Below are 27350 nucleotides of genomic sequence, written 5' to 3'. Positions count from 1 at the left end.
ACTGCAGCCTCAAACTCCTGAGCCCAAGTGATCCTCCCAATTTAGCCTCCTAAGTAGCTGGGACTACAGGCACAAACCACCATACCCAGCTAAGTTTTTTTGTTTTTTGTAGAGAGGGGGTTTCACTATGTAAGCCAGGCTGGTCTTGAACTCCTGCTCTCAAGCGATCCTCCTGCCTCAGCCTCCCAAACTGCTGGTATTACAGACATGAGCCACCACACCCGGTCACTGAAGTTTTTTTCTGAAGTGCATGACATAGGCACATTATTGCAGTATAAAGTTTGTTTAATCTATGCTTATAAAAAGAACTTTTTTAAGTGCATGACATGGGCACGTTATTGCAGTATAAAGTTTGTTTCATCTATGCTTATAAACAGAAATTTTTTTTTTTTGAGACAGAGTCTCCCTCTGTCACCCAGGCTGGAGTGCAATGGCGCAATCTCGGCTCACTGCAATCTCTGCCTCCCAGGTTCAAACCATTCTCCCTGCCTCAGCCTCCTGAGTAGCTGGGATTACAGGTGTCTGCCACCACACCTGGCTAATTTTTTTCTGTTTTTAATAGAGATGGGGTTTTGCCATGTTGGCCAGACTGGTCTTGAACTCGTGACCTCAAGTGATCCGCTGCCTCAGCCTCTCAAAGTGCTGGTATAGGCCTGAGCCACTGCACCTGGCCAACAGAAATTTTTTATTGGTTTGTTTGTTTGTTTTTTGAGATGGAATCTCGCTCTGTCGACCAGGCTGGAGTACAGTGGCGCGATCTCGGCTCACTGCAAGCTCCGCCTCCCAGGTTCACACCATTATCCTGCCTCAGCCACCTGAGTAGCTGGGACTACAGGCACCTGCCAACATGCCTGGCTAATTTTTTGTATTTTTTTAGTAGAGACGGGGTTTCACCGTGTTAGGCAGGATGGTCTTGATCTCCTGACCCCGTGATCTGCCCGCCTCAGCCTCCCAACATGCTGGGATTACAGGCGTGAGCCACCGCGCCCAGCCTTTTTTTTTTTTTTTGAAATGGAGTTTCACTCTTGTTGCCCAGGCTGGAGACCAATGGCGCGATCTCAGCTCACTGAAACCTCTGCCTCCGGGTTCAAGTGATTCTCCTGCCTCAGCCTCCCTAGTAGCTGGGATTATAGGCGTGCACTACCACGCACGGCTAATTTTTGTATTTTTAGTAGAGACAGGGTTTTGCCATGTTGGCCAGGCTGGTCTTGAACTCCCGACCTCAAGTGATCCACCTGCCTCGGCCTCCCAAAATGTTGAGATTACAGGCGTGAGCCACCATGCCTGGCCTAGAAAATATTTTTATATGATAGAAATAGCTAACATTTACTGAATACTTGCAACATGCGAGGACTGTGATAAGTGCTTTACCTACCGTATTTATCTGATTCTCATAGGAACCCTTTGGGAAGAGGCCATTATTTTTCCCGTTTATTTATTTATTTAGAGACAGATTCTCACTCTGGCACCCAGGCTGGAGTGCAATGGCGTGATCTCAGCTCACTGCAACCTCTGCCTCCTGGGTTGAAGAGATTCTTCTGCCTCAGCCTCCTGATTAGTTGGGACTACAGGCACCGGCCACTACACCCGGCTAATTTTTGTCTTTTTAGTAGCGACAGAGTTTCACCATGTTGGTCAGACTAGTCTCAAACTCTTGACCTCAGGTGATCCGCCCTCCTCAGCCTCCCAAAGTGCTGAGATTACAGGCGTGAGCCACCACGCCTGGCCTGTTTTTCCCTTTTAAAGATGAGGAAGCTTTTGAGGTTTAATTTAAGTAATTTATCCAATGTCAAGCATTTCGTTTAATGACAGCCAAAATTAAGAGGTTTGGCTACAAAGCCCCTGCTTTTAGCCATATAGTGCTCTTGTATTTTAGGTCAGGATGTTAACCTAAATGATAACCCTTCCAAATCAAATTTTTTCCCTTTTACCAGGTTCTGTGTAATCTGTTAGCAGTAGATGGTGTAAATGAGCCTGATGTCCTAGCAATTAATGGCGGTAAGTATAAAAGTAGAGATTAAAATTATCAGATTAAAAATTTTTTTAAAGCAATGAAATTTTAATTTCGGCCCTGATTTTTCTCCTTTTTTAAGCTTCCGTAGCCCTCTCATTATCAGATATTCCTTGGAATGGACCTGTTGGTAAGTTAGGATTTAAAAGTAAGAAATCATATGTGTATTTTTTTTTTCAGTAAGTAGTAGTGACCATGTTACAGCAATGGCATATGGCTCTGATTTATTACCTCTTCATGAATTGAACTAGATGACGTTCTAAGTCTCCTTTCAGGTCTTTCAGACATTTTCATCCTTGTCTTGGGTTCTGTTTCTAATAGCATATGTTACGGTATTACAGATTTTATGTCCCTAGATATTTTGACTTCATAATTGTCTCTTTCTGTTAGAGGACTTCTTTTTTTTTTTTTTTTTTAACTGGGAAATTATCAGAGTATATACTCCTTCAGGATGAAATTAATGTAACTTACGGCTGTTATAAGTTCATAATCATGCAATATAAAAATGGCTCAGTGAGTAAATAATTATCAAGTGTCCTAGGCAGAGCAGGCCCTAGCAATACAACAATGAAAGATGCAGTTCTTGATCTCTGCATAAAGGAGACAGATAATTACTTATGATCAGTGTTATTATAAAGACATAGTCAAAGTGCTAAGAATATGATAGAGAAGAGCAGATTTGATTTTGTGTGGTCAGGTTGTCAAGGAGGGCTCCTCAGAGTAGTCATTTGTGTAAGCTGAACCTTAGTAGGATCTAGTGTTAAGCATTTGCGTTAGAGAGAATACTGACTGGCTAGACCAGGGGACAAACATGAGCATAATCCCAGAGGTGTGGAAGAAGTGGTATATTTCAGCAATTCAGAGTGATCCAGTGAGGACAGAAGGTAGGGTGGGGTAGGATGTTCTGTGGGTCTTAAATACCGTGTAGAAACATGGATTTTATTCTGTGGTCACAATCAAAGATGGGGTTGAAGCCATGACTGGAATAATGTCTTGAAAACTGGGTATTTCCATTAAACAGTTGCCAATATTCTAATACATTTTAGGGGCAGTACGAATAGGAATAATTGATGGAGAATATGTTGTTAACCCAACAAGAAAAGAAATGTCTTCTAGTACTTTAAATTTAGTGGTTGCTGGAGCACCTAAAAGTCAGATTGGTAAGTTGTTTTAAATACCACATTTGTTCTGGATTTTACTTACAAGTTCTGGCTTCTTAAACTGAATTTAAACTCTGTGTGTATGTTTTGTCGGTAGCCATAAAAATTTTTGTCATGTTTTATCTCTGTCCTATTTTTGTGCTCTTGCTTCATATCAAATGATTCCTAAAATTACAGGATTTTATTCAATTTTATTTAGAATATACAAAAATATTTACCAAGATCATTTCAGTAATTATTTTTAGACTAAATTTTAATTATTAAAATTATGACTAATTTTTAGTCTAAAAATAATTTCAATAATTATGTTTAGACTAATAAGTTATTAGTCTAAATAACTTATTTTAAAAATAGAAGTTCTAAGTCTGGTAGTAACCATTTTATTAGTTTAAACATTATAATTTAGCTATTTCATTCTAAGTCTGCTTGGTATCCTCTTGAGAAGTGACCCATTTCTACTAGGTGGAAAACTGGTAATAAAATAGAAGAAATGCATTGACCATGGGCCATTTTCACTTACTCCTTGTGACAGAAATGTCATACTTGCATGAACGAAAATCAGGTCCTTGTTCTGTGGAAGGAAAATGGGCTTTAGCAGTCAGAATGACCTGGATTTGAAACCTGTCTCTGCCACTATAATCATGTGATCTTGGACAGATTATTTAAGGGCTTTTATTGTTGGTTTATTCTACTATGTGATGTTTGATGTGTGTGACTTTTTGACATAGGGTCTTCTGATGTGGGAACATTTTGATGAAACAAACTATTCAACTTTTACTGCTTTTTTGTACAAGTAATATGTGAAACATCTCATTTCCAGCTTCTTCTGGTTTGTTAGCCAGTGATGAAGTTAAAATTAGGTTCTATAAGTTAGAAAAATCCCCACATATTAGTTGGGGGTTGTGTTGTCGAACCAAATAAACAAGACTTAAACAAGATGGAAACTTTATTTTTCTCTCAGGTAAAAGAAATTCAGAGGTGGTAAATCTAGGACAGTGATAGTGGTTACATGACATCTTAAGAAATCTAGATTCCTTTTAGCTTTCTCCTCTGCTATCCTCAAGATGTGGCCTCGTCTTCATGCTTATGAACTGGCATGAAGAGCTCTGGCCAACTTATCTGACTTACAGGCAGGAGGAAGAAAAAAGAAGGGAACAGCAAAAAGGTGTGTGGCAGTTGAGTAAGTCAACCTGCGTTTTAAGCACCTTTCCCAGAAATCCCCACACAGTAGTTTCTATTTACACCTCATTGAGCAGAACTGTGGCACATGACTATAGCCTCGACTGCAAGTGAGGCAAGGAAATGATTTTTGTATTCTGCCTGCAGAAGGTGGGATTCGTACTGTGAGTAACTATCAAAATGTAGAGAGGATATTCCAAAGAATGGGGAAGCCATGAATAATAGATGATGTCTACCTCATGTTTGAGCATCTCGGAGCCTTGAGCAAAGTATTGGTTTCCTGTTCATCTGCATTGGAATTTTTGCTGAAAGTTACAGCGTTTGTTTATTCGCTGTTAGTAAACTAGTCTCATTACTTTACAGGGTAGTTATGAAGATAAGAGTCAAGATTTGCAAAGTGCCCAGCATGTTACCTAATAAGCATACAGTTAATACCTGCTATTATCATTAAGACACAGAAATGGCCGGGCATAGTGGCTCACGCCTGTAATCCCAGCACTTTGGGAGGCCGAGGCAGGCAGATCACGAGGTCAGGAGATCGAGACCATCCTGGCTAACACAGTGAAACCCTGTCTCTACTAAAAATACAAAAAAAAATTAGCCGGGCGTGTTGGCGGGCGCCTGTAGTCCCAGCTACTGGGAGGCTGAGGCAGGAGAATGGCGTGAACCCGGGAGGCAGAGCTTGCAGTGAGCCGAGATCACACCACTGCACTCCAGCCTGGGCAACAGAGCGAGACTCTGTCTCAAAAAACAAACAAGCAAACAAACAAAAAAGACACAGAAGTAAACCTGCTGCTAATTGGTCATATAGCCACTATCTACCTTAGAGTTTGAACCCTTCTAATTGTTAAGTAGACATTAGAGGAATGAACTAATAATCTTTTTTTTTTTTTTTTTTTTTTTTTTGAGACATAGTCTCGCTCTGTTGCCCAGGGTGGAGGAGTGCAGCAGTGCGATCTCAGCTCACTGCAACCTCCGCCTCCCAGGTTCAAGTGATTCTCCTGCCTCAGTCTCCCAAGTAGCTGGGATTATAGGCGTGCACCGCCATGCCCAGCTAATTTTTGTATTTTTAGTAGAGATGGGGTTTTGCCATGTTGGCTAGGCTGGTCTCTAATTCCTGGCCTCAAGTGATCTGCCCGCTTCGGCCACCAAAAGTGCTGGGATTATAGGCGTGAGCCACTGCACCCAGCAGAACCAAGGAATCTTTGCTGCACATGTGGCATGCCACAGAAACCCCACAGGCCAACTTCCAGCTGGCTCTTCTCACCTGTTGCTCACAGGAGGGAAGAATGAGACTCTAGAGCGCATAAATTTCAGAGAGTAGTCTTGGGTAGAGGGAGGCTGAGAGTGATTCAGAACCAACCTGTAAGGGGATGGTTTTTAGGAATTACCAGCCTCCATTTTATGACTTTTGCATCACTATTTCCATGCAGCTATTCAGCCAGCTCTCTCTGCTTTCATAAAGATGCATCAAATATGCATTTTAACCCCTTGTTTACCTGTTAAAGTTAACATCGGGTCCAAGTGAAATACCACCATCATGGAACTTCTGTGATACAAAAATACAAAAAAGTAATTGCTACTATTTCATTATTAAAATATTTAGTCATTTAGTCATCCAAATCTTTTTTTTTTTTTTTGGAGACCAGGTCTCTCTCTGTTGCCGAGGCTGGAGTACAGTGGCATGATCTTGGCTCAGTGCAACTTCCGCCTCCCAGGTTCAAGTGATTCTCTTGACTCAGCCTCCTGAGTAGCTGGGATTACAGGCGTGCACCACCACACCTGGCTAATTTTTGTGTTTTTAGTAGAGACAGGGTTTCACCATGTTTGTCAGGCTGGTCTCAAACTCCTGACCTCAGGTGATCCACCTGCCTCAGCCTCCCGAAGTGCCGGGATTGCAGGCATGGGCCACCACTCCCGGGCAGTCATCCAGATCTTTAGAGTATAATCTTACACGGCAAGAATAGTTACTCCATGCTGTCAGCTGCTGGGTTACTTCAACACCAACATTCTGAACCGTACCATTTAGATGTTTGTTTTCAACTGGTATATTTAATATCACTAATATTTCTGTGTGTGAGAAGATATCGGTCAGGAAAAAGTATACCAGTAACATGTTTTTAGAAGATATTTTGGGTCTAGAATTTATAGCTTCAGCTAATCTCAAAACTCCTTCATCTTCAACTGCTAAAATGGTTGACAGTTTATAGCAATCTTCTTTTTTTTTTTTTTTTTTTTTTGGTTGAGATGGAGTCTTACTCTGTCGCCCAGGCTGGAGTGCAGTGGCGCAATCTCGGCTCACTGCAACCTCCATCTCCAGGTTCAAGCGATTCTCTTGACTCGGCCTCCCAAGTAGCTGGGACTACAGGCGTGCACCACCACACCTGGCTAATTTTTTATTTTTAGTAGAGATGGGGTTTCAACATGTTGGCCAGGCTGGTCTCAAACTCCTGAACTCAGGTGATCCACCTGCCTCAGCTTCCCAAAGTGCTGGGATTACAAGCGTGAGCCACCACGCTGGGCCTATAGCAATCATTTTGACAAGCTTTTATGTTTAAATTTTTAGCATCGATAGCAGTGTTGTCCAGTAGAACTCTGCAGTGAAGGGAATGTTTTATATCTGATCATGTGGCTACTTAGCACTTCAGATGTGGCTAGAGTAACTGAGGAACCAAAATTTTAATTTTGTCTAATTTTAAATAATTTAAATGCAAGTAGCCATATGTGGCTAGTAGTTACCATATTGGACAGCACAGCTCTGTAGACTCAACTGTAAGGAGTGTTCTTTCTTTCTTTCTTTCTTTTTTTAAGACAGTCTCACTCTGTTGCCAAGCTGGAATGCAATGGTGTGATTATACATCACTACAGCCTCAAACTGTGGGGTTCAAACGATCCTATGTCCTCAGCCTCCTGAGTAGCTGGGAATCCAGGCACATGTCACCACACCTGGCTAAAGAAATTTTCTTAGAAAGTATTTTTTAAAAGGAATTGCATTAAAGTTTAATGAGTGAAAACAAAGTTTATTTGGGGGGTATCCATTTTTCTTTGTCATATTCTATTTTTTAAATTTTACCATTATTTTTATTAGATATAGCATCTCATTATATTGCCCAGGCTAATCTCCTGGCCTCAAGCAATCCTCCTGTCCTGGCCTCCCATAGCACTGGAATTACAAGCATGAGCCCCATGCCCAGCCATATTTTTTTTTTTTTTGAATCTGGTTCTCAACTCTCCTCAACTCTATTGTCCAGACTAGAGTATGAGTATAGTGGCGTGATCATGGCTCACTGTAGCCTAGCCTGAAACTGCTGGCCTCAAGTGATCATCCTGCCTCAGCCTCTAGAATAGCTAGGATTACAGGCACACCACCGCAGCTGAGTTTTTTATCTTCTAGTTGTTATCTTTTTAGGGACAGGACCTTGCTGTGTTGCTCAGCCTGGTCCCAGACTCCTGGCCTCAAATAATCCTCCCACCTTGGCCTCCCAAAGTACTGGGACAATAGGCATGAGCCATCACACCTGGCCACATATTTTATTTTTAAAAGCAATTTATTGAGATATAATTTATACCCATTAAATGAATTTTTAAAAATCTCCGGATTAATCCTGTCAAAGTGAGAGGATATCTTGGAAATACAGATGAGAAAAAGAATATAGCCATCTCAGTATCATGGTATCAGAAGAAATTTCTTCAGGCCTGGTGCAAAATATGGAAACCTTATTTCCCTTTACCCTCTCCCATTTGGAATGCAATTGTTATCATTTTCTTCTACAGTTAGAACCATATCAGGCAGTGTTACAATTTTTGCTTTTGCTTCAACTGTCAAACATAATTTAGAAAACTCAAGAGGGAAAGAAAAGCTTATTGCTCTGTATTTACTCTTTTTCTCTATTTATTTATTTATTTTTTTGAGATGGAGCCTCATTCTGTCGCCCAGGCTAGAGTGCAGTGGCGTGATCTCAGCTCACTGCAACCTCCACCTCCTGGGTTCAAGTGATTCTCATGCCTCAGCCTCCTGAGTAGCTGGGACTACAGGTGCACGCCACTATGCCTGGCTAATTCTTTCATTTTTTATAGAGACAGGACCTCGCTATGTTGCCCAGGCTGGTCTTGAACTCTGACTTCAGGTGATCTGCCCACTTTAGCCTCCCAAAGTGCTGGGATTACAGGTGTGAGCCACCACGCTCAGCCTCTATATTTATTCTTAGTTTGCATACTGATTTTCTTTCCTTTCTAACAGTCCACGATGTCTTCTCTTATTTTTTCATTTCTGTTTAGAAAACTTCCTTTAGCTATTTCTAATGCAATAGAAAAAATTCTATTATTCAGTCCTTTAGTTGGCTTACTTGAAACAGGATCACTGCAGAGATTTCCCCATCTGTGCAAGAATTAGACAATGTGAGAATTAATTGTTAAACAGGAAATATTTATTAGATTCCTATTGTGTTACATATTTTTACATTTTATTTAAAATATGTATTGCCAGGAGCGGTGGCTCACGCCTGTAATCCCAGCACTTTAGGAGGCTGAGGCGGGTTAATCACCTGAGGTCAGGAGTTCGAGAGCAGCCTGGGCAACATGGCAAAACCCCGTCCCTACTAAAACTACAAAAATTAGCTGGATGTAGTGGCTCACGCCTGTAATCCCCAGCACTTTGGAAGGCCAAGGCAGGCAGATCACCTAAAGTCACTTTGGCAAATAATATAAACAGTTCACAGAAAAGGACATACATATGGCCTTTTAAAAATATAAAAAGATGCCAGGCACAGTGGCTCACGTCTAATCCCAGCACTTTGGGAGGCTGAGGCAGGCAGATCACAAGGTCAGGAGATTGAGACCATCCTGGCTAACACAGTGAAACCCCATGTCTACTAAAAATACAAAAAATTAGCTGGGCATGGTGGCGGGCGCCTGTAGTCCCAGCTACTCGGGAGGCTGAGGCAGGACAATGGTGTGAACCTGGGAGGCAGAGCTGGCAGTGAGCCGAGATTGCGCCACTGCACTCCAGCGTGGTCAACAGAGTGAGACTCTGTCTCAAAAAAAAAAAAAAAGTATTAAAAACAAATGCACTTGTATACTTTAAAAGATTTAATTTTTATTTTATGTGACTTATAGCTCAATAAAACTTATTTTTAAAATATGTGCATGATTTCTTTTTTTTTTCTGTTTCATTTTTTATGGGAAATCCCTCCTTAAACTTAAGGAGAATGTAAACCTAAATACAGATATCAAGGTGTCTTTATTCATTTACCGCTGCTTACATTTTGGAAGTATGTTGATTCTGAGGAAAGAAATCAAGGTGGATCTATCACTAAGAAGTAAAATTGATCCATAATATTTATGTCATGTCATGGTATTTGAAAATGTTATATTACTAAGAGCTTCGATGGCAGTCATTTTTTTTTTCTTTTTCCTTTAAATAGTCATGTTGGAAGCCTCTGCAGAGAACATTTTACAGCAGGACTTTTGCCATGCTATCAAAGTGGGAGTGAAATATACCCAACAAATAATTCAGGGCATTCAGCAGTTGGTAAAAGAAACTGGTGTTACCAAGAGGACACCTCAGAAGTTATTTACCCCTTCGCCAGAGATTGTGAAATATACTCATAAGTAAGAACATCTGTGCAAATGAAAATATGAAATTGTCATCAGATTTAATTTCCTCGTGGGAGAGAAACTTCCCATGGAAGCACTGCCCATGCATTACTTCATAAATAGCACTTTTCTGTTTTAAGAGTCATTCCCATAAATATCTGCTTACTCCCTTAAAAAGGATAAGCCCACATCACTCTTGTAAGACCTAACTTTGAATCTCAAATGAAAGAGTGTGTTTATTGGTCAAGATTCAGGTAAGCACCACATCTCTCCACGTCTAGGAAAAAGAATAAAACGTTAAGATATTTGAATATCTAAGGAAACTGTTGGAATTCTCAAAAAGAAATCAGAGGTAATCACTGTTACATGCCCAGTGCTTAGAACGTTAGGCAGACACTCAGTAAATGTAAATGAATCACTGGAAAATTATTTTATTTGAAAAAATTGAAAAGGTTAATACTTTCCCTTAATGTCAGTTGCACAGCCATGAGTTGGAAATTAAATTAACTCTTTCTAGCAAAAGAGTTTCATGTGATAATGGAGCCAAAATGGGTAGAATGAAGAAAGGAAGAGGTTAAAAAGAATATATGAAAGGTGAAATTAATTGAACAATTAAGAAGAAAAGAACAGGATACTACATGTGGTTTCCCCTGGGAGGGTGGGAGAAAGAAATTTGTGTTCTATACCATAAATAGTAAACAGATTAGCAATGATAAATAGCAATATAAATTTTCAATTCTTTCTGAAGTATTTATTAAAGTTTTAGCTGATTATTATTAAATATTTCAGTTTTGTTTATAATAGAAACTGCCTCTTGTTTCCAGATATTATTATGCTAACATTTATTTTCTGCTTAAATAGACTTGCTATGGAGAGACTCTATGCAGTTTTTACAGATTACGAGCATGACAAAGTAGGTATACCTGAGTTTTGTCTTCCATAATTGCCCTAGGAATACATTTTTGTCATAACTCATGTAATTTTCTTTATGAATGCTAGTCCTATTTTTATTAAAAATCTCTAAATGAAAAACTAACAAAAGCCTAATTGTTTCTCCATTCTTTTGTTTTGTTTTGTTTTTGAGACAGAGTCTCTCTCTGTCGCCCAGGCTGGTGTGCAGTGGCATGATCTCAGCTCACTGCAACTTTCGCCTTCCAGCGATTCTCATGCCTCAGCCTCCCAAGTAGCTGGGATTACAGGTGCACGCCACCACACTCAGCTATCTTTTGTATTTTTAGTAGAGACGGCCATGTTGGCCAGGCTGGTCTCAAACTCCTGGCCTCAAGTGATCTGCCCACCTTGGCCACCCAAAGTTCTTTTCTTTTTAATATAAGTTTTAGGGGAGTGTACAAATGTATTTGAATGAATTAACATGTAGTATTTGTCATAAATCAAGAACCAATTCCAATATTTTAAAGAATATTAAAGAAATCAGAGTAATTCACAATGTGTTCATTGTATAATAATTAGAAAACAGAAATATTAAATGTTGTCATGTATATGTAATAACTGAACCTCAACTTTCTTTTAGGTTTCCAGAGATGAAGCTGTTAACAAAATAAGATTAGATACGGAGGAACAACTAAAAGGTAAATTTTATTTTATTTTATTTTATTTTTTTGCTGAGGGCAGCTTTAATAAGGCATGGCCTGACTCTTGCTTCTTGGGATTAAAGGTCAAAGAGGAAAGGCATCACATCTGTAGGAAAAGAAGAATTCAAAGGACTTTCAACTTTACAGCTGCTGTTCCCTAGACCTAGAATGCTCTCTCATAGCAGGTGGTCTTCTTCTAACCCAAGGTTCAAATGCCACCTCTTCTCCAAAGCTTCCCCGAACTGTTTCGGGGAAAGAGAAAGTCCCCTTTGCACAGAACCGCTATTACTATGTATTTTTTAATTTTAAAAGCATTAAAAGAAATAATAGACTTTTTTTTTTTTTAACTTTAGTTGAAGATCTCAAATAAATGTTACTCTCATTGCTTCTCAGCTTTATTTTCAATAAACTTGTAATAATGATAGCTCACAAGGTTACTGCTAAATTAACTTCTATGAATGTAGCTAGCACTACATTTGATGCAGAGTAGGTACCTAGTAAATGTTGAATGTGAATGTTCCTGATCTTTTCTGAATCAAACTCCTACCATACAAGAAATGTAACCTGGTATCTTATCATTTGAAAACCCAAATATATTCTTTAAAATTCTTGAGTTCTTGATCTGTGAAATTGCAGTGTTAATAATACCTGGTTTATGGGGATTAAATGAGTGAATCATTTACATCTGTGCCTGCCACACCGTAAGTGTTCAATAAATGTTAACTGATGCTATTCTTAATACCTAGTGGAATCATAAGATACAGAACTTAGGTAATTTAGCTCTCCAGAAATTATTAAGCAAAGGATCTTACTGTATAATATCAACCTCTGGCCAGGCGCGGTGGCTCACGCCTGTAATCCCAGCACTTTGGGCGGCCGAGGCAGACAGATCACGAGGTCAAGAGATCGAGACCATCCTGGCTAATACGGTGAAACCCTGTCTCTACTAAAAATACAAAAAGTTAGCCGGGCGTGGTGGCGGGCACCTGTGGTCCCAGCTACCCAGGAGGCTGAGGCAGGAGAATGGCGTGAACCCAGGAGGTGGAGCTTGCAGCGAGTCGAGATCGCGCCACTGCACTCCAGCTTGGGCAACGGAGCGAGACTCTGTCTCAAAAAAATAAATAAATAAATAAAAATAATAGTAATAATACCAACCTCACACAAACTGAATATAAATGAAGTATGACATAGTTTTTGTTAATTTTTCTAATAGACAAATATACTCTCACATGAATATTTATTTTAAGATAAAAAACTGGCCAGGCGTGGTGGCTCATGCCTGTAATCCCAGCACTTTGGGAAGCCAAAGTGGGTGGATCACTTGAGATCAGGAGTTCAAGACCAGCCTGGCCAATATGGTGAAACCCCATCTCTACCAAAAATACAAAAATTAGGCGGGCATGGTGGCAGGCTCCTGTAATCCCAGCTACTTGGGAGGCTGAGGCATGAGAATCACTTGAACCTGTTAGGCAGAGGTTGTAGTGAGCTGAGACCGCCACTGCACTCCAGCCTGGGCAATAGAGCAAGACTCCATCTCAAAAAAAAAAAAAAAAGTGCTGTTAGCATTGATATTAAGGCCATTAATTGTAACTGTCATTGAATATGTTTAGTCCTTTCTCACTACATTTCATCCTATTTGGTAAGAAAGAAATTTTATAGCGAATATTGTCTTATTTTAAAAGAATAGTGACTTTTTGTTTGTATTATACATAGTAGAATATCTTCACGACCCTCTGGGTTGATAGGATATTTTAAACATTTTGGTACTGATTGTTTTCCTTTCCAAGTACAACTCAGTTAAGCAGAAAAGATATTAAAGTCTAATATTAAAAATTATTCTTTTCTGAAGAAGATACAATCTAATATATCTTTCTGTGACCATTTCTTGTGTTTTGGTTACTTTGAAGTTATGTTTAATAAACCATACACATGAGAGAATAGTACTTAAAACTTGGCATAAATTAATTGATAGGGTAGAATAGCTTAACATCTAAACCCTAAGCTAAAAATAAAATAAAATAAAACCATAAGCCTTTGAGGCTGACAGATCTTTATTCAGGTCACAGCTGTATCAGTTACTACCTGTGTGGTCTCAGGCAGTTTACTCCACCTCTTTATTTTTTATTTATGTTTTTTTTTAAACTCAGTGGTTATCTCTTACACAGTACTTCACCCCTTTAAGCCTCAGTTTTTTCTTCTGTAGAATGGGAATCATAAAATTTAGTTCATAAGTTATTATGAAAGTTAAAAGCATTAAAAAACCAATAAAGTGCCTGGCTCATGAAAGCATTTGACAAATATTAGATAGAAAACAGTTTGTAGGGATTTCTAATATATTTTTAAAATTTTTCCCCAATTTGCAGATTTAGATTAAAGGCAAAAGAGTGAGGGTGTCTACTCTTAAAACTGTCAGTTAGGCCGGGCACAGTGGCTCACGCCTGTAATCCCAGCACTTTGGGAGGCCAAGGCAGGCGGATCACCTGAGGTCAGGAGTTCGAGCCCAGCCTGACCAACGTGGAGAAACCCCGTCTCTACTAAAGATACACAAATTAGCCAGGTGTGTTGGCACATGCCTATAATCCCAGCTACTAGGGAGGCTGAGGCAGGAGAATTGCTTGAACCCAGGAGGCGATGGTTGCGGTGAGCTGAGATCATGCCATTGCACTCTAGCCTGGGCAACAAGAGCAAAACTCCGTCTCAAAAAAAAAAGACTGTCAGACCTTTTCCATAAAGGCTGACTGGATTCTTCTGGTAACATAATAGAAAAGGGAACTGATGGGCCGGGCGCATTGGCTCACGCCTGTAATCCTAGCACTTTGCGAGGCCAAGGCAGACAGATTGCCTGACTTCAGGAGTTCAAGAGCAGCCTGGGCCACATGGTAAAACCCCGTCTCCACTAAAATACAAAAAAATTAGCCAGGCATGGTGGTACACGCCTGTAGTCCCAGCTACTCAGAATGCTAAGGCAGGAGAATTGCTTGAACCCAGGAGACAGAGGTTGCAGTGAGCCAAGATTGCGGCGTTGCACTCCAGCCTGGACAACAGAGTGAGACTTTGTCTCCAAAAGAAAAGAAAGAAAGAAAAGGGAACTGATTTCAAAGCACTGTCATTCAGTCATTTAGGTAGAAAACAAACTAAGTTCACAATAACAACACAGTTGTAGTACTTGGTACTTGATGTGTCACATTTGGTTGAGAACATTTAATTTATCTACTTTGTTTGCCTGAGGACTAAACGTTCAGAGTCATCTCCCTTGGTTGATTCCCGTAGTTAGTTGATATTATGCTATGAACTTTAGAGAAATCCTATCTCCTAAAAAAGTAAAAATCTTTGTTTTGGTTTGTCTTTTTTCTATAGAAAAATTTCCAGAAGCCGATCCATATGAAATAATAGAATCCTTCAATGTTGTTGCAAAGGAAGTTTTTAGAAGTATTGTTTTGAATGAATACAAAAGGTAAACATACCCTTTTTTGTTGAAATTGAAGTATGCACTGTCTCTGCAAGTTGCCTTGAAAATGGAAACTTGATCAAAGAAAGTTTGTTTTTTTTCAAGTGAACAGTAAAGAATTATAATATTTGCTATATAAATGGACACCTATTGAAGAAAAAGTACATGATATGTGACCATCTGTCTTGGGCCTGGTGTATAAAGCGGTGCCTGCCAGCCCTGACTGCACTTCAGGATTACCTGTAGAGTTTTTTGTTTGTTTGTTTTTTGTTTTTTTTTTTTGAGACAGAGTCTCGCTCTGTCACCCAGGCTGGAGTGCAATCTCGGCTCACTGCAAGCTCCGCCTTCCGGGTTCACGTCATTCTCCTGCCTCAGCCTCCCGAGTAGCTGGGACTACAGGTGCCCACCACCATGCCCAGCTAATTTTTTGTATTTTTAGTAGAGACGGGGTTTCACCGTGTTAGCCAGGATGGTCTCGATCTCCTGACCTCGTGATCCGCCTGCCTCGGACTCCAAAAGTGCTGGAATTATAGGCATGAGCCACCGCGCCCGGCCTACCTGTAGAGTTTTTTAACAACACAGGAATATAGGTTCAACTTCAGACATTCTGATTCAGTGATATTCAGGATAGTGCTCAAGTATCTATTATTTTTTAAAGTTCCACAGGGGATTATGATACACAACTGAGGTTGAGAACTTCCTGGGAGAGATAAAGACATGTGATTTTTCTGTTTCCAGCGTTACTTAATGTACTTATTTCCTATATCACTATAGGTGCGATGGTCGGGATTTGACTTCACTTAGGAATGTAAGTTGTGAGGTAGATATGTTTAAAACCCTTCATGGATCAGCATTATTTCAAAGAGGACAAACACAGGTAATTTATATAAAAAGCTCTAATTATTTGCTAAATTAAGATTGTTTAATTAGATCTAATAGAAGTACATTAGTAGATGCTGTAGGTTTTGTCATATGGTGTATATTATTTATTTAAATTAATATCTGGCGGTTCTTGTTTGTTTTGTTTGAGACAGGTTCTTGTTTGTCACTCAGGCTCCAGTGCAGTGGCACAATCATAGCTCATTGAAACCTCTAACTCCTGGACTCAGGCGATCCTCCCACCTCGGCTTCCTGAGTAGCTGGGACTACAGGCGTGTGCCACTATGCCTGGTTAATTAAAAACTTTTTTTTGTAGAGACAAGGTCTTACTATGTTGCCCAAGCTGGTCTCAAACTCTTGGCCTCAAGCAATCCTCCTACCACAGCCTCCTGGTGTTCTGGGATACAGGCATGAGCCACCACGCCTGGCCTTTGGTGTGTTTTTTATGTAATTTTAACAGTTTTTTTGAGGTATAATTGCTGTTCAATAAACTATGCTGTTTAAAATGTATGATTTGGTAACTTTTCACAAGTATGCAACTGAGAAACCAGCAAGATAATGAACAGGCCAGGCATGGTAGCTCACTCTTGTAATTCCAGCACTTTGGGAGGCCCAGGAGGGAGGATTGCTTGAGGCCAGGAGTTCGAGGTTGCAATAATCTATGGTCATGCCATTGCACTCCAGCCTGGACTACCAAGCCAGACCCTGTCTCTTAAAAAATTTAAAAATGAAAAAGATAATGAACATATCAGTTACCTCCAAGAGTTTCCTCATGCCTTTTTGTAATGCCTTCTTCCTGCCCCCCACCTCCTCAGGAGACTACTGATCTGCTTTTGTCACTATAAATTAGTTTGCATTTTCTAGAATTATCTGGTATTTCTGTTGTATCTTTCTTTTAATATTGGGTATACAAAATTGAGTAACTCAGACTCTAGTTTATGGCATATTGTGATTGTTGACCTGTTCAAGGCCCTCATTTGTTTTCTCCATTTAGCCTGTACAGTTCTATTCTTTTTCTATTCTTTATTCTTTACATAGGCACCCACTCTTGTATTTAACAGGTAGCCTTCTGGTTCTCCTTCTTTTCGTTTATTAATATTTACCTACATCTGTATTCATTGTTCTGTGTACCATATTATGCTTTATACTCCTTTCCCACATTAATTGTTTCTTTAATTCTATCAATCTGATAGGCACCAAGTAGTAACTTTTTGCTTTAATTTTATTTTCCTGATTACTAGTGAGGCTCAGCATTATTTATATAACAGCCAGTCAACATGGTCACTGCATAAACCATGCCCTGGGGAACTGCACACCTCCAGGGCACTATTTCCACATGAATGTTGTCCCCTAGAGTTGTGCAGTGTGGTGGCCTTGCCTCAGGTTTGCCCTTTTATGAATTTTCTGTCCATATCCTTTGGCCAGTTTTTCTTTTTTTAATATGGTTTACTGTGTTTTACCTGCTATTTTGTAGTAATTTCTGAAGTGTTTTAAATATTAATTCCTTTTGGTAACAAACTTTATATATATATGTCTCCTTCTTTATTTATTGCCTTTTAACTTTGCCTGTGGTAGTCTGCTATGTTTAGAGTAAACCTGAAAACTTAGTTCTGATATAAATTCTTCTGTACCTCAAAGTCACAAAGTTACTCACCTACTTTTTCTATTAGCTTTCTAGTTTTAGCTGTCGAATGTAGACCATTAGTCGATCTTTGAATTTATTCCTACACGTTGTATGAAAGGAAGACCTCCATAGTGAGCCAATTATACATTATTTACTAATACTTTATTTTTCTCAATGACTTGTGATGTCACCATATGATAGTCAAAGTTTATAAATGCATGTTAAACTATATCCTTTTTCATTGTTACGTGAATTTTCTGGGCCACTGTCAAACTATTTTAATTATTATGATTTAGGGGTATATTTTAATATCTGAGAAGCAAGTCATCTTCCCTGTTTGTTCAATCCCCTCAAAATTATCTTAAAATTTAGATACATTTGTTCCTTTATTTGAATTTTAGTATTATATCAAGTTCTCAAAATATCCTTCTAGGATTTATAATTATAATTATACTAAATTTTTATATTAATCTGAGAGAAGAATCATACTTTTACAATTTAAGTTATAGTCTACAATGAATAGAGTCAGTGTCACCTTTGATTCAGGTTTTCTTTTATGCTCTTTAGTCAAGTTTTTAAAATGCCTTTATTAAGATGTTCTGCATACTTTTGTTATCCATTGTGACAATCTCTGGCTTTGTAACTGTAGTACTTAGTCCATTCATGTTAAATTTAATCATTGATGTGATTGAATTTACCGTCATTTTATTATTTGTTTTTCTTTTGCCCTTCTGTTTTTTGTTTCTCTATTTTTTACTTTCAGCCTTCTTTTTGAATGAATTGAATTGTTTTTAGAATTTTAATTTAATTTGCCTATTTATTTTTTAGCTGTACTTCTGAGTTATTTTCCAGTGATTACTATAGAAATAACAGTATACATCCATAACTTCTCACAACTTTTTATTTATATATTGTAAAAAATTTTTGTAGAGTCAGGGTTTCGCCATATTGCCCAGGCTAGTCTTGAATTCCCGGGCTCCCGCAGTCCTCCTACCTTCGCCTCCCAAGGTGCTGGTATTACAGGCATAAGACCCTCACAGTCTTTTTAGAATTAATTTTGTACCACTTAACATAAAATGAAGAAACTTCGCAACCATTTAGGTGCATTTCCTGCCCCTTCTATCCTTTATATTGCAGTTGTCTTATCAGTTACATCTACATGTGTCATAAACCCCCACAAGGTGGTGTTATAACTTTCATACAATCATGTATTTTAAAGAAGTAATAAGAAAAAGATAGGCTTTTATATTGGCCCACATATTTACCATTTCTGGTGCTTTTTATTCCTTTCTGAAGATCCAAGTATGGATCCAGTATCATTTCCCTTCATTCTGACAAGACTTCCTTTAATATCATCCTATGAGTTTTCTTTTTTTGGGATGGAGTCTCCTTCTGTCGCCCAGGCTGGAGTGCAGTGGTGTGATCTCGGCTCACGGCAAGCTCCGCCTCCTGGGTTCATGCCCCTGCCATTCTCCTGCCTCAGCCTCCCAAGTAGCTGGGACTATAGGCGGCTGCCACCACGCCCGGCTAATTTTTTTTTTGTATTTTTTAGTAGAGACGGGGTTTCACCATGTTAGCCAGGATGGTCTCTATCTCCTGACCTCGTGATTCACCTGCCTCAGCCTCCTAAAGTGCTGGGATTACAGGCATGAGCCACCGCACCCAGCCGTTTCAGTGTTTTTTGTTCTCCATGTTTTTCTGATGAAAAGGACCCATTCAAATCATTGTTCCTTATCTATTATTTTTTTCATGTGGGTGCTTTCAAGATTTGCACCTCATCTTTGGTTTTCAGCATTATGATTGAAAGGTGTGGTTTCCTTTGAGTTTATCCTGCTAAAAGTGTCCTGAGCCTAAATCTGTACATTGATGTCTTTCACCAAACTTGAGAATTTTCATCGATTATTTCTTCAAATATTTTTTCATGCCTCATTCTCTCTCTTCTTCTAGAATTGCAACTGCACATATGTTATCCTTTTGATACTGTCCCATAGGTCACTGCAACTATGTTCTCTTTCCTCTCTTCTGCAAATTGGGCAATTTCTGTTCATTCATCTTCATGCTCACTGACTCTTGCCATCTCCCCTCCATTATGAGATATTAAAGTTTTCAATTCTAGAATTTCCACTTATTCTTTTTTATGTCCTTTGAGTATAGTTATAATAGCTGTTAAAAATCTTTTGTCGCCGGGCGTGGTGGCTCACGCCTGTAATCCCAGCACTTTGGGAGGCCAAGGCAGATGGATCACGAGGTCAGGAGATCGAGACCATACTGGCTAACACAGTGAAACCCCATCTCTACTAAAAATACAAAAAATTAGCTGGGCGTGGTGGCACGCACCTGTAGTCCCAGCTACTTACTCAGGAGGCTGAGGTAGGAGAATCGTCTGAACCCAGGAGATGGAGGTTGCAGTGAGCCGAGATCGTGCCACTGTACTCCAGCCTGGGTGACAGAGTGAGATTCCGTCTCCAAAAAAAAAAAAAAAAATCTTTTGTCTGCTAATCCACCATCTTAATCAACTCAGAATCAGCCTCCATTCCTGGTCTTTATTCTTGAGAATGGGCCCTGTTTCCTGTTTCATTGTAGGTTGTTTTCTGGATGTTGTGAATGATACATTGTAGAGTGTCTGGATTATGTTATGTCTCTACAAAGAAGACTGATTTTCTTAATTTATTTTTCTTTTCTTCTTTTTCTGAGACAGAGTCTCGCTCTGTTGCCCAGGCTGGAGTGCAGTGGTGTCATCTTGGCTCACTGCAACCTCGCCTGTTGGATTCGAGCTATTCTTCTGCCTCAGCCTCCCAAGCAGCTGGGACTACAGGCACATGCCACCATGCCCAGCTAATTTTTGTATTTTTAGTAGAGACAGGGTTTCACCGTATCGGCCAGGCTGATCTCGAATTCCTGACCTTGTGATCTGCCCGCCTCAGCCTCCCAAAGTGCTGGGATTACAGGTGTGGGCCACCACGCCTGGCCTGATTTTTTTTTAATTTTAAGCAGGCAGTTGTATTGGCTGAACCTGTATTAAGGCTTCCTCAGCGTACTCTCCTACATAGTTCTTAAAAACATTGCTTTCTCTTCCTGCCTTCCTTCCCCAGCACTCCTAGAGCAGTGCTTTACATATGTAGTCTATGTGATGTTAGAACTTTGGATTATTGAGGTTTACACATAGTATGAATATTTATAGAATAAATAAGTGTTTAATGCAGTTAGTAGCATGGCAAGCTTTGTGTAGGATGTACTTATCTCATTTTTTTAAGAGTTAGTTGGATTCTTCAAGTATTTTTAGTTTTCATCTTTGTGGTTAGTATATTAAAGCCTGAGGAATTCTTTTTCTTTTTTAGGTGCTTTGTACCGTTACATTTGATTCATTAGAATCTGGTATTAAGTCAGATCAAGTTATAACAGCTATAAAGTAAGTTATGTTTTTAAGATGTTTGTTACGTTTTATGATGTTCTATTATATAATTAAAGCTTATGTGGTATATTATTAATTATTGTTACTTTTTTTAACCTGTGTTTTTGTACTTCATTTTTCTGTTTACATCATCATGATTTCAAAGGATTTTGTGTGTGTGCTAGATTGTCTTCTAAATCACTGATTTGGAACAAATATTAGTAAAGCATTTAATTCTTTAATGTGAGTATATTTAGTTTGTTCTCTGTCTCTAGAATGATTTCTTAGGACAGGCTTCCTTGGTAATCTTGAATGGATTGGTTTTTCTATTAGAAACGAGAGCAAATGAATACACGAAAGCTCCCATTGCTGAAAATAATCTGGAGGCTGTTAATGAAAAACCTCGTTAATGAAAAGCCTTGTCGAATCCCAAGCCACGTTGTGATTTTGTGTTCAGAAATACTTGGCTGTCCTCCTCTGCCCCTAAAAAGTCAACAGTAAAATCATGCTAATCAATTCCGATGATAAGAATCTTTATTGCAGGCCAAATCAATTCTGATGATAAGAATCTTTATTGCAGGCCGGGCGTGGTGGCTCACGCCTGGCCTGTAATCCCAGCACTTGGGAGGCCGAGGTGGGTGGATCCTGAAGTCAGGAGACCAAGACTATCCTGGCTAAAACGGTGAAATTCCGTCCCTACTGAAAATGCAAAAATTAGCTGGGCGTGATGGTGGGCACCTGTAGTCCCAGCTACTCGGGAAGCTGAGGCAGGAGAATGGCGTGAACCCAGGAGGTGGAGGTTGCAGTGAGATCACACCACTGCGCTCCAGCCTGGACGACAGAGCGAGACTCTGTCTCAAAAAAAAAAAAAAAAAAAAAAAAGAATCTCTATTGCAGTCCTCACCAGCATTATTGCATAGAGTCTTGACTCTCATAGCCAGTTCTTTATTTTCCTCAGTGCCTAGTAGGGCTACTTCCTGTTCCTGGTTAAGGGTCTCAGAAGACCACAAGGCTCGGCCCTCCTTTTCCTGATGCCCAACTGATGAGGATAATTCCTAGTAGCCACTGTAATTGTTTTCCATGTATCTGATAGAATCGACAGTGCAGCTGTGTGTGTGAAGGTGGAATGCAGAACACTGGGCTTGGTCAGGGTACCTCCATATATTCTAGTCTTAGGTCTATAACCTGTGTAAATAAAGGGGCACACATCATCACTCAGCCACACTGGCCTTTGGTTTCTATTTCTTATCAAATGAACTGGGCCAGTGACCTGCTATAATCCTCTCTGGCTCACCAAATCTGTGATTCCTTTAGTCCTCTGAAGGAGTTTGGTTTTTAGATTTCTTTTTCCAAAGCTACAGTTTATGATCATGCAGATTCTGCCCCATCCCAGGACTTTTTCTTCGTTTCACATATTGACTGGGAGAAGCATTGTAGCTCTGAGATTTAACTAACGTGGGTATAGCATTTAGGATTCTCTCAGTAGTCATTAATGCTTAAAAATACATCTATTGTCTTAGTGTTCAAATCTGGATATTTAAGGACTTATATTTAAAGTAAAATTGGTTTCCTAAATCTGTACAATTCATTCATAAGCCCCAGAAGAAAATATCATCTCACAATCATCCTTCTAATTAATTCTTTGGTTTTCAGTTTCAGTCTGATTTTTCATTAACACCTAGTTCTTTTGTAAAATCCCCTTAAATCTGTTTTAGTTGTGTTTTGAAATAAATATGTTTTTTCCCTATGATGTTTTTAATATTATGCCTTTTATTTTTAGTGGGATAAAAGATAAAAATTTCATGCTGCACTACGAGGTAAGGTGAATTTTTTTCCTCAAAATTTTATTAATAAATTAATAAATTTTTGTGAGACGAGGTCTCACCCTGTTGTCCAGGCTGGAGTGGAGTGGTGCAGTCTCAGCTCACTGCAACCTCTCCCTCCCAGGCTCAAGACATCCTCCCGCCTCAGCCTCCCAAGTAGCTGGGATTACAGGCTTGTGCAACCACAATTGGCTAATTTTTCTATTTTTTTCTAGAGATGGGGTTTTGCCATGTTGCTCAGGCTGGAACATTTTATTTTTAAAAACTTCCAGGATACAGTAAAGTTGAAAGAACTTTACAGTGACTATCCATATATCCACTACCTGGGTTTTACCAATAATATTTTACTTTTCTAGTTTTATCATATATCTATTAAGGTCAATTTGGGGCTACTATTTTATTGCTTACAGAAGGCATGGCAAGCTTTGTGTAGAATGATAAGTAGAGAGAGATGTAAGTAGTATTTTTAGAGAGTATTTAGCACTCTCTAAAGTACTACTTTAGAGAGATAAGAGATAAGTACTTTAGAGAGATAAGTGGTATTTTTCTAATCAACAACTTCCTGTTCTAAGTCATACGTAAAAGTTAAAGTATAGCAGACAATATCGTTTTAGGTTAAAAAAAAAAAAGTCATGCCTGTATACACGTCTGTCAAACAAAAGTAGAGTTTTTTAAATACCTCAACTCCCAAATCACCTTCTGTTTGCTCATTGAAATGTTCATATTTATACTCAGTTGATTAGTAGTAAAAGATGAGACGTTTAGTATTAAGTTACTTTATATGAGATGATTATAGATAATTGAGTTTGTGATTGACTTTATTCACAACAAATCCTAAGGGACCAGACCTAATATAAAGTACTTTTAATTTTATTATTTGAAGAATGTACATGGAGAGCAGGGCATGGTAGCTCATACCTGTAATCCCAGCACTTTGGGAGGCTGAGGAGGGAGGATTGCTGAGCCCAGAAATTCAAGACCAGCTTGGGCAACATAGTGAGATCCTGTCTCTACAAGAAGATCTAAAAATTAGCCAAGCATGGTGGCATGTGCCTATAGTCCCAGCTACTCGGGAGGCTGAGATGGGAGGATTGCTTGAGCCCAGGAGGCTGAGAATGCAGCAAGCCATTATCACTCCGCCGCACTTCAGCCTGGGCAACAGAGTGAGACCCTGTCTCAAAAAATAAAAAGAAAAAGAATACAACATGAGAGACTTATGTAAAGTAGCAAGTCATTTCGTTTTTGTGTAACCCTTGTTGGCTGCCCAGAGTCTCAGCATTTCACTCTTGCTGAATCTGCTGTAATCAATAGAGAACATTTTTTTGTAGAAATTATATGCTACAGAATATCCATAAACATCAAGATTCATACAGGTCTTGAATCCCTTATAAATATCCTGTTCTGGATATAGCCTGGTGCTACAGAAGCCAGAAAGGAATTATAATTGAGTAAAGCAGGTTCTTTGTCATGAGCTGGAGAGCACATGGCAGTCTTAAAAGGGCAGCTGTGCAAAATGGAGGTCTAGCTGATTATTGGGTAAGGGGGTTGGGGAGGGAGCTGGAGAAGGATATGGGCCATTATTGCCATATTTTATTTTTGTGAATCTCTTTATTATAAAATAAAGCATAGGTACTGAAAACTGTATAAAACAAAGGATGGCTTAATACATTTTTATAAGGCAAATATCCTTGTAACCACCACCCAAGTCAGGAAATTTAACATTGCCAGCCACCTCAAAAGCCCCTCCATGTTCTTCATCCCAATCTCAATACCCGTCGTCTCTTAAAAGTAGGTAACTACTCTCCTAAGTTTTACAGTAATCATCTTGGATTTCCTGGCTCCATTTTTAGATACTATAGTTTAGTTTTGTTTTTTTCTTTAAAACATTTGGTATTTCCTTTTTTGTTTTAGTTTATTTGAGACAGAGTCTCACTCTGTCACTCAGGCTGGAGTGCAGTGGCACCATCTTGGCTCACTGCAACCTCCATCTCCCAGGCTTAAGTGATCCTCCTGCCTCAGTCCCCCAAGTAGCTGGGACTACAGGCACCACCACACCCCGCTAATTTTTAGATTTTTTACAAAATGGGGTTTTGCCATGTTGTCCAGGCTGGTCTCAAACTCCTGGGCTCAAGCAGTCTGCCTGCCTCAGCCTCCCAAAGTGCTGGGATTACAGACATAAGCCACTATGCCCGGCCTGATATTTCTTTAAGTCTTTTTAAATCTATACATTTCTCCTCCATTACATTCTTTTTTTTTTTTTTTTTTTTTTTTTTTTTTTTTTTTTTTTTTTTTTTGCAGTCTATCTATTGAAGCCCCATAGCCATTTGACTTATAGTCTCCCACAGTCTGGGTGTTGCTGATTGTACACTCATGGTGCAATTCAACATGTTCCTCCCCCCTCTCTATTTCCTGCAAATTGACCGCTAGATCCAGAGGTTTAATCAGATTCCTGCTCCATCCACTGCATTTAAGAGCGGTGGCTCATGCCTGTAATCCCAGCACTTTGGGAGGCCGAGGCGGGCGGATCACCTGAGGTCAGGAGTTCAAGACCAGCCTGACCAACATGGTGAAACTCTGTCCTACTAAAAGTACAAAATTAGCTGGGCATGGTGGTGCATGCCTGTAATCCCAGCTACTTGGGAGGCTGAGGCAGGAGAATCGCTTGAACCCAGAAGCAGAGGTTGCAGTGAGCCGAGATTGCACCATTGCACGCCAGCCTGGGCAACAAGAGCAGAACTCTGTCTTAAAAAAAAAGAAAAAACAAAAAAAAAATTCTTGTTAATCTGGAATTACAGATATTTGGGGGAATTTTTTTTTTCTGTTTTAAAAAAAGGGTCTCTGTTCCACAGGCTGAAGTGCAGTGGTGCAGTCTCGGCTTACTGCAACCTCCACCTCCTGGGTTCAAGCAATTCTTGTGCCTCAGCCTCATGAGTAGCTGGGATTACAGGCATGCGCCACCACGCCCTGCTGATTTTTCTATTTTTAGTAGATACAGGGTCTCACCATGTTGGCCAGGCTAGTTTCAAACTCCTGAGCTCAAGTGAGCTGCCTGCCTTGGCCTCCCAAAGTGCTGGGATTACAGGCATGAGCCACTGCGCCCGGCCTGAAATTACAGATTTTTATGGGAAGTCTTCCTATTGTCAAATGATCACAACTAATTCATATTCCTTCAAGGTAACATATCCACCAAATAAAACAGTTTGCAACCACTGGCTAAAATAAAACCCTTATGGAAAAGAGCTGTTTCCTCCATACATTTTTGTCATTGTGTTTTGCTTGAGAAATACTTCAAAATATGCAACTTTCCCATTCATGTATTTTGTTTCATATCTGAAAAAGTTAGTGGAGAGAGATAACTCTAAAAAGTATCAGTGTAAATTAAATTTCAATTTAGTGAAATAAATGTGGGCTTTGCTATGGAAAAAAATCTGTGATTCTTCAATGTGTACTTTTTAAATATGTACATATTTTTACTTATTACAAAAATATAACGTTATTGTTAATAATTTAAATGTAATGGAAATTTATGGTGTAAATCCCCATACCCATCCAGTTCCCACATCCTAATCCATGTACACACTTGAAATAGCTACTTTTAACCATTTGGTATGTATGTTAAATTTATATCATACGTTTTCTGTATATTTATGAATGTACTTTTTTAAAAAACAAAAATGAGATTCTACTGTTCTATAAGTTGTTTTATTATTTTGGTAATATAACTTGGACATCTTTCTATGTCAATTGTATATGTGTGTTTGTGTTTTTTTTTTTTTAAGTTTCCTCCTTATGCAACTAATGAAATTGGCAAAGTCACTGGTTTAAATAGAAGAGAACTTGGGCATGGTAAGTACAGGTCTGTAAACTTAATACGGTATTCTTACAGAGACTTAATACATTTTTTACTTATTGTTTTCTATTCTAATTTAGGTGCTCTTGCTGAGAAAGCTTTGTATCCTGTTATTCCCCGAGATTTTCCTTTCACCATAAGAGTTACATCTGAAGTCCTAGAGTCAAATGGTATGGTATTGAAATACTTCTTTCATAGTAGAAAAGACCATATTCCCTATTCTATTATTAAGTTTTCAAATGTAATGTTACATTTTGTTTATTACTACAGAACCCAAGTTTGTTGCAAGAGAAAAATGTATTGAGTTAATCAAATACTTGTCTTAATCTCTGTTCTTAGCTAATGAGTTGTTTTGAAAGCAATATAAAACAAATGTTTTTCTTTATCTGTTATAGTAGATCCAGTTTGGCTTGTTTCTTTATTTTTACAAACAAACCACAGAACAAGGTTAACAGAGAGAGGAAGGGCCAAAATAGAGTGATCATTAGGCAGGAGATACCTGTCACATATCCACATGAATAATAAGTGTACATCACAGAGGGAGTCTAGGCCAAGAGGTCACATTTAAATAAAAAATTTGTCCATGGGTCAAGGTACGGTGCAGTCATTAAAGGCAGAAAGGTCATGGAGTTCTTAAAGGTGTAACAGACGTAAATCAGATAGTCACAGATTTTGAGGAAAAAATACCAAGGTAAACTCAGAATTTTAACTAAAGACTTTGTGGTTCTCTACTGGGTGTGACTAAATTAATGGGCTTATGAGAATGAGAGAGCCAAAGCCCTATATCTTTAACTACTT

At 39.1% G+C, this 27350-nt stretch overlaps 1 protein-coding gene across 4 annotated transcripts in view; it reads left to right on the top strand.

The window, feature by feature from the left end:
- PNPT1 (polyribonucleotide nucleotidyltransferase 1) overlaps positions 1–27350 on the top strand; it is a 59784-nt gene that overhangs the window by 10992 nt on the left and 21442 nt on the right. For all 4 annotated transcript variants that reach the window (XM_017005172.2, XM_005264629.3, NM_033109.5 and 1 more), the window contains 12 exons: positions 1935–1998; positions 2094–2141; positions 3058–3171; positions 9774–9960; positions 10807–10858; positions 11477–11534; positions 14895–14991; positions 15760–15862; positions 20827–20897; positions 22660–22696; positions 26482–26548; positions 26633–26722. In XM_017005172.2, the coding sequence (XP_016860661.1) occupies positions 1935–1998; positions 2094–2141; positions 3058–3171; positions 9774–9960; positions 10807–10858; positions 11477–11534; positions 14895–14991; positions 15760–15862; positions 20827–20897; positions 22660–22696; positions 26482–26548; positions 26633–26722 (988 nt within the window). The remainder of the gene's footprint in view (positions 1–1934; positions 1999–2093; positions 2142–3057; positions 3172–9773; positions 9961–10806; positions 10859–11476; positions 11535–14894; positions 14992–15759; positions 15863–20826; positions 20898–22659; positions 22697–26481; positions 26549–26632; positions 26723–27350) is intronic.

Source organism: Homo sapiens, chromosome 2, assembly GCF_000001405.40.
Source record: "Homo sapiens chromosome 2, GRCh38.p14 Primary Assembly".
Lineage (NCBI taxonomy): Eukaryota > Metazoa > Chordata > Mammalia > Primates > Hominidae > Homo > Homo sapiens.
This window is presented reverse-complemented; position numbering and strand designations above follow the sequence as displayed.